Source organism: Homo sapiens, chromosome 2 (genome assembly GCF_000001405.40).
Source record: "Homo sapiens chromosome 2, GRCh38.p14 Primary Assembly".
Lineage (NCBI taxonomy): Eukaryota > Metazoa > Chordata > Mammalia > Primates > Hominidae > Homo > Homo sapiens.
Genome location: NC_000002.12, coordinates 163,149,431 through 163,157,345, shown reverse-complemented (window position 1 = coordinate 163,157,345; position 7,915 = coordinate 163,149,431). Strand labels below are relative to the sequence as shown.

The 7,915-nt window shown below is 36.9% G+C and overlaps 1 pseudogene; it reads left to right on the top strand.

Annotated features, from left to right (window-relative positions):
• Positions 1-4,038: 4,038 nt before the first annotated feature.
• On the top strand, positions 4,039-5,095 carry RPL7P61 (ribosomal protein L7 pseudogene 61; annotated as a pseudogene).
• Positions 5,096-7,915: the final 2,820 nt, after the last annotated feature.

Here is a 7,915-nt window from a genome sequence, read left to right as displayed (position 1 = left end):
CCCTTGGCCACGCATTTCACAAGCGCTCTTAGCTTGTTTTGGTAGCACAGGATTGCTACAGGGGGGCTGGAGTTGGATATTTCTCTTTCACCATGTTAGTTAGCCACAATGTTTGGGCTCTGATAAAATAGTTTCTCCTGAGGCCAGGCCTTATTAAGGAGAACTGAATGCTCTGAGGTGTTTCGAAGTGGTTGTTTTCCCCTTCTCCTTCTAGAAGCCCGAGAGGGTTTTGCTCTGATCTTCACAGTGAGACCTGGTAGAGTTAAAACTCATAAAAGTATGACCTCCCCCACTGTACTAGTCTGTTCTCACATAGCTATAAAGAACTACCTGAGACTGGGTAATTTATGAAGAAAAGAGGTTTAATTGGCTCACTTTTCCACAGGCTATACAGGAAGCATGGCTGCAGAGGCCTCAGGAAACACAATTATGGCAGAAGGCAAAGGAGAAGCAGGCTTGTCTTCACAGGGCCAGAGCAGAAGGAAGATGAGAGATGGGGGGAGGTGAGACACACTTTTAAACTATGAGATCTCATAATAGATAACTCACTCACTATCACAAGAATAGCACCAAATGGGAAATTAGCCCCCATGATCCAATCACTTCCCACCAGGCCCCACCTACAACTTTGGAGATTACCATTTGACATGAGATTTGGGCGGGGACACAGACCCAAACCATATCACCCACCTTCCCATGACCGGGTCCTTCTGGAGCACTTATCTCTCAGGCTCTCTACTTCAGGCTTCCAAAGCAACTTACCAATTACAGTTCAGGTTTTCCTACCCCAGTACTTGTTCTAGGGGAGGATTCTGCTTATGGCCATTAAGTTGTGATTTTCTCTTTGTACTTATCTTGCTAATTTTGGAGGGTAGTAGTTTGTTCTGTAATCAAACTTCTCTGATGGATCTAAAATGAGTTGTTGATTTCTTTAGTCTGTTCAGCTTTTTATATGTTAGGATGCAGTAATGACTTGTAAGCTCCTTATGCACCAGAACAGAACCTGGAAATTCTAAATCTATAAGCTTTATTTTTTTTTCTTACATCTGACTTTGTAATAGAATTTAACTAGTCTCTTGAAATTAGTTGGATATTCCATCATCCTTTTTTGCATCTTCTGTTTGCTGGAACAAGTTTATAAAGAGTGATAAGTAGTAAGTATGCGTTCCTTAAATGTTTGGTAAAAAGTACCTGCAAAATAGTCAGGGTCTGGGGTCTTACGCAATTTTTAAATATTGTTCCAGGTTATATTTCCATATAACTTAATTAAATTATTTGAGATTTTTTTGTTTTTTGTGTGCTCAGCCATCATAAATCATTTTTAGTACCATACAGACACACACACACAGACACACTCACACAAAACCTCTGGGGCTTTGCACTTGTTTTTTCTCTTTTTGGAGTACTCTTCTTTTCATATATTTTGCCAGCTAACTCTTACTATTCATTAATTTTCTTTGATACTTTGCCTGCAATCAATAGCTTCTACCAGATGGTAGTGGTCATATATTATAGAGAACCATGCCTTGCAGAAAGCCTTGACCTCAGTCAGATCAGATTTGTATGCTATATAGAATCCTTCTCTTTTCTCAAGGCTCTTATCACACAATATTGTCATTCCCTGTAGACTCATCAGTATGTTCCACTAGTTCATAATCTCCTTGAAGGCAAGAGTTGTATCACCTCTTGATTCCTAATAGATTGACATATTAAGTCCTTAAAGTATTTGTAAAATAAAACATTCTGTACAACTAACTAGGTTACGGTGTTAAAGGGCAAGTGGTTGTTTTCTCCATACCTTTGCTTGATATTGACATTTGTGAAATTTTAATTGTTCAGTGTACACTTTAAGCAGATAACCACTACCATCTGGTGGCAATTACATGAATTACAGTCAATAACCTCAGAGTATATTTCAAGCAGGTAGTTCTCACTTCGGGGAATGGGAAACCAGACCAGCGGAGAGGTGGGTGACAAATGTGTTTCTCAAGTACTTAAAAGGTCAAAGTTAGCTCACTATTTTCAAAACATTATGGGCATATTCAGTGATAACTCCATAATCACATATTTTATTTGCAAGCACATGGTTCAAATATTCTTTAAAGATATTTTATTAAATAGACATTTATTTTGTTGTATTTTTCAACTGTATTGACTTTTTATCATTATGAAATCTCTTTTTTAATCTCTAGTTATTCTCCTTAAGTTTTACTTTAATATTAATAGAGCTACACTACTTTCTTTCAATTATTTTTTACATGGTATATCTTTTTCTATCAATCATTTTACTTTGAACTGATCTGTATCCTTATATTTGTAGTTTGTGACTATCCCTCTACCTGCTTCACTGGCTCCGTCTTATGTGTCAGGCAGTCTTCTAGAAGTGGTCATACTTATCTTCTCTAAGGCCATTCAAGACTGTTACTTTGCAATGCCAATGGGCCTCCAGTAGATACCTCTTGTCTTCATCAATGGGTGACATCATGCTCTCCTAGTTTAATACTAAGCTGTGACACTCAAGGATGTATATACCTTGGGCAAATGGGATGCTCTTTTTGTTCTGCATGTGGACTCTTGCTTATCCTCCCTGCTTGTGGCCGTGTGGGAAAGGTAACAGCATGGTCAGCATTGAGAGACATCAAATTCTAGGAATGCAGTGACTATAATCTACTGTATCATGAGGACTATGTAGGTGGAAGATGTGTAGTTTATGCTATAAAATTCCAATAGGACACTTAACATGACTAGAAAATAATTGTTCATATTTTCCTGAATACTCTGGGAAATTGTCAGTAATGCTTAGCTATAATTTTTAGAGAGCCACTGAATACTAGCATTCATTTGCAGCATAATGAATGATGTACCATCATAAGTAGTAATGTGACCAGCATTAAGTCAATGGTATTAAGATTTTGCAGAGGCAAGATACTGTTTTAATACAAACAGATTCTAAAAAGCCACAACATTGTGGTTAATAACAATAATGTCCTCTATTTTCTGAAGGTGGAAAATATGAAATTAGCCTGTATGGTCATTTGACAACTCACACAAAATAATTCATGAACCTGAATAGAAGGAGATGGTGTTTGGATACCATAAAAAATAATTGTATGCACTAACTGGAAAATAAATAAATTGATAAGTGCCTAATTTCTGTCCACTATTAAAAACCATCTTTATGATAAGTCTCTATGCCTAATATAAACCCATGAGTATTATAAGGCATTTTAAAATCATGTTGCAGATATAGAAAGGACCCTGTATCAAATATTTGCCTGATGTCCTGCTGACCGTAGAGGTGGCCCTGTTTCTAGGCATCTCTAATTAGATAGCAGGGAATTGTTTAGAAGAAGGATTATAGAGGGGAAATATACCTAATTAATCAAGATATAATTAAATGGAATACATTGGAAATTGTCCTGAGAGTGAGAGCTGTGATGTATACACACACTGATGATCCATAAATTAAAGGGAAGTACAAATTAGAACTTTAGCAAAGGGATAGCTTGAACACAGACCTCTGGTTTCCAGATCTTTTGAGTTTTCTTTCTAGGGTGATGCAATATAACATTCCAGAAAAGGCAAAACTATGAGGATGAAAAATGATCCATAAATTATAGTGCCAATCTACCATATCCAAAAAAATACTCTGGATTAAAAGAAAACTGAAACAGAACAGAGATTTCAAAGTAGATGGTGACCAAAAGAAGATACAAATTTTATAAGCCTTCAATTAGTCTATCTACCTGACTACCTATCCATCTAAAATAACTAAACTTTTGAAATAAACTTTAAGAATTTTTTAGATATTCGAGTCAATATTAAAAAAATATATATTGATAGAAGCCTGAAATAAAAATTTTACATTGTCTCAACAAAACACAACATGGTTGGTTAATGTGAGTGTTGAAATTGATATAATTCATATTAGATAGTATTAAAATGATAAAAAGGAATCAGATCTCTTTTTTGTTAATGTGGAGGAAACAGAGGATATGTTTTAAAATAAGAAAAGCACCCTGTTTTATGGCTGAAACCATGGAGGGTGTCAAAGAGAAGGAGGAGGTTCCTGCTGTGCCAGAAACCCTTAAGAAAAAGCAATGGGATTTCGTAGAGCTGAAGATCAAGCACCTGAGAAAGAATTTTGCCCAAAAGATGCTTCAAAAGGCAAGGAGGAAGCTTATTTGTGAAAAAAGAGAAGCACTATTACAAGGAATATAGACAGATGTACAGCACAGAAATTCGATAGGTAGGATGGCAAGAAAAGGTGGCAACTTCTCGGCCGGGCACAGTGGCTCACACCTGTAATCCCAGCACTTTGGGAGGCCGAGGCGGGCGGATCACGAGGTCAGGAGATCGAGACCATCCTGGCAAACACGGTGAAAGCCCGTCTCTACTAAAAATACAAAAAATTAGCCGGGCGTGGTGGCAGGCGCCTCTAGTCCCAAATACTCGGGAGGCTGAGGCAGGAGAATGGCGTGAACCTGGGAGGCGGAGCTTGCAGTGAGCCGAGATCGCGCCACTGCACTCCAGCCTGGGCAACAGAGCGAGACTCCGTCTAAAAAAAAAAAAAAAAAAAAAGGTGGCAACTTCTATGTACCTGCATGCAGAACCCAAAACGATGTTTGTCATCAGGATCGGAGGTATCAGTGATGTGAGCCCAAAGATCCGAAAGGTGTTGCAGCTTCTTCACCTTCATCAAATCTTCAGTGGAACCTTTATGAAGCTCAACAAGGCTTCGTTTAACATTCTGAGGATTGTAGGACCATATATTACATGGGGGTACCCAAATCTGAAGTCAGTAAATGAACTTATCTACAAGGATGGTTATTGCAAAATCAATAAGAAGCAAATTGCTTTGACAGGTAACACTGATTGCTCGATCTCTTGGCATCATCTTCATGGAGGATCTGATTCATGAGATCTATACTGTTGGAAAATGCTTTAAGAAGCAGACAACTTCCTGTGGCCCTTCAAATTATCCTCTCCATGAGGTGGAATGAAAAAAAAAAAAAAGACAGCTTATTTAGTAGAAAGTGATGATCCTGGCAACAGGGAGGAACAGATCAACAGGCTTATCAGAAGAATGAACTAAGGTGTCTACCACGATTATTTTTCTAATCTGGTGAGTTAATAAAACAGTACCTGCTCTCAGATTGAAAAAAAAAAAAGCAAGTGAGAAAAAAATGATCCATTTTTGTTAAAACAAACAAACAAACCAAAATTCTGTATATGTATATACACTTATACGATTTTGTGTGGGCATAGGCTAAGAGAAAATACAAAGGCTACTAACATTGGTTTAATTATGTTTGTATGGAAAGAGGAAAGTAATTAGGGAGAGCTAATAAATTGGTTATATTTCTTTGCATTATTTCTCTCATTACAGTGGTTGTGTAATATTGAATTAACATTTCAATGAGAAAAGTGTTAATTAACAAATGGGTATTTATTACTGTAGAACAGCATTCTAAATCATTTGTTGGCATCTGCAAGGTACTGTGTTAGAGTGGAGACTTGCAGGCATACATGAAATCTGTCCTCAAGAAGCTGCCAATTATTTTTCTACTTCTGTTAAGTCAGACTAGGTTGACATAGATAGGCCAATCGTCTAGACATATTTAGGTTTAGGAAAGTTTTAAACATCAAGGACTAAAGGAAAACACACTGAGGTGAGCCCAACATTTATTGCATTTTTTCCTCTTGAGGCATTTGCCAATTAACATGTAGTATCTGGTAGACTGGAAAGGTGGTAAGCAAATGGCAGCTTAACGCCTGAGAAATTGGGCAGAGCTTCTGGCCATTTTATGAGGGTGATGGGACAAAATAATTGTTCAAAGTGAACAAGGAGGAGGATTTTGGGCAAATACCTCAGGCTCTCAGTTAAAAACCTTGGGCCGAGCACGGTGGCTCATGCCTGTAATCCCAACACTTTGGGAGGCCGAGGCGGGCAGATCATCAGGTCAGGAGACTAAGACCATCTTGGCTAATACATGATGAAACCCCGTCTCTACTAAAAATACAAAAAAATTAGCCAGGCTTGGTGGCAGGCACTTGTAGTCCCAGCTACTTGGGAGGCTGAGGCAGGAGAATGGCATAAACCCGGGAGGTGGAGTTTGCAGTGAGCCGAGATTGTGCCACTGCACTCTAGCCTGGGTGACAGAGTGAGACTCCATCTCAAAAAAAAAAAGAAAAAAAGAAAAAGAAAACCTTGAAACCTTGAAGAATTACAACTTAGGAATATGAGTGAAAGATGTAAGTCATCCGTCACAACTCACAAAATCTGCATACTGCTAGGGTTAACTGTTAATTAATTCATCCCTAACCTAGCCTGCCAGAAGCAAAATTACACCCTCTTTGGAAGAATATAATATCATCCATAGCAAGAGAACATTTTTCATATACAATGTTTGGCATTAAATAAAAATTACTATAGATAATGGAAAAGAAAATACATTTTTGAACATCAAGGAAAAATTTCTAGAATATAGAAACGGAGAATATTATTATAATCAAGTTGTCATGAAATTGTAGAACAATATATAACATATCAGAAGAAAACTAGAAACTATTAAAAAGTAAATATAAATACTAGTTATAAAAAATACAATAACAGAAATTAAGAAATCAAAACAGAAATTTAATAAGAAGAAGACACAGTTGAGGATCAGATTTCTTTAAGTCACAGAATAGATTCAGTTTTGGTAAATAATCCTGATGCTGGGGACATAATGGAAGCCTCAGAAATCTCAAAAGCCAAAGCCAGAAATATATTTGGTTGGTCAAAGTGTGCATTTCAGGCATGGGAACAGCATGAGCAAACCATAGAGACAATAAAGTACAGGAAATGTGAACTAGTACTGTTCATCTTAATTATAGGTGGTACATAGGGGATTCAAGAAAGATGAGAGTGGAAAAATAGGTAGTGGTTAGCTTAAGAAAAGTCAATACACTATTATGTGAAAAGCAGTATATATTAATAGTAACTCTTCATTTTGTCAGTTGAGGACACAAATCTCATGGCAGAATTTAAAATGGAAATATAAGAAACTCACTTCTCACTAACTTATACAATATTTTATCAGCTGTTTACATGTACATGAATAGTGAGCTTGCATTTTCTTATGAAACTCTCAGTTAAAAGGAGTTTCTTACATCACTATTTTATTTATGAATTTGTTATTCTAGATATAGAAGCCACAATGTGACAAAGCCCAACTTTCTGAAAAATAGATGTAAACACAGAAAAATTAAAAACACCTCTAAAGTTCTGGCATCTTTCAAAGTGAAGCTGTGTGGAGCAATGGCCAGAGTTCTAAGTCCCATCATCTGTAATGCCTTGGCCCATCTTGCCATCTCAAGTTTTCCAGGTTAAAAAAAAAGTACTATTGGGAATAAAAAGGAAAGGAATACATGTGAGATATGGATGTAAAAGCCATTAGGGATGTTACTCCACAAGACTTTATTAGATGTGGAAGTTGTGGTAGAGAGTAGATTTAAAAATAATTCTGAGATTTTTCAGCCAATAATGAGCACAATTGGTTAATAACCAGAACAATTAGTATTTATAAAGATATACAATATCTTGGGAGATCTTTAAAGGGGGATTCCATAGTTGACTGAAAAATTTATATTTCTCAGCCATCTTGAAGCTTGTTATAAGAGTTCAAGATCTTGTGTTCTTACATATGGAAGAAATAGTTGCAACAGTGGAACTAAATGTGATTCTGTGGAAAGAAATGGTGAGAGAGAGAGAGAGCAAGAGCTAGAAAGAGAAATATTGAAATCAATATCTTGAAAAATATAGTCCAGAACAAGCCAAAGAAAGAGGCTATATCTCACACACCTGTATCTTAGAAACTGTGTGTCTAAGACACCTGTGAATGGCTTAGTACTGTGCTCTACACAAAAACTC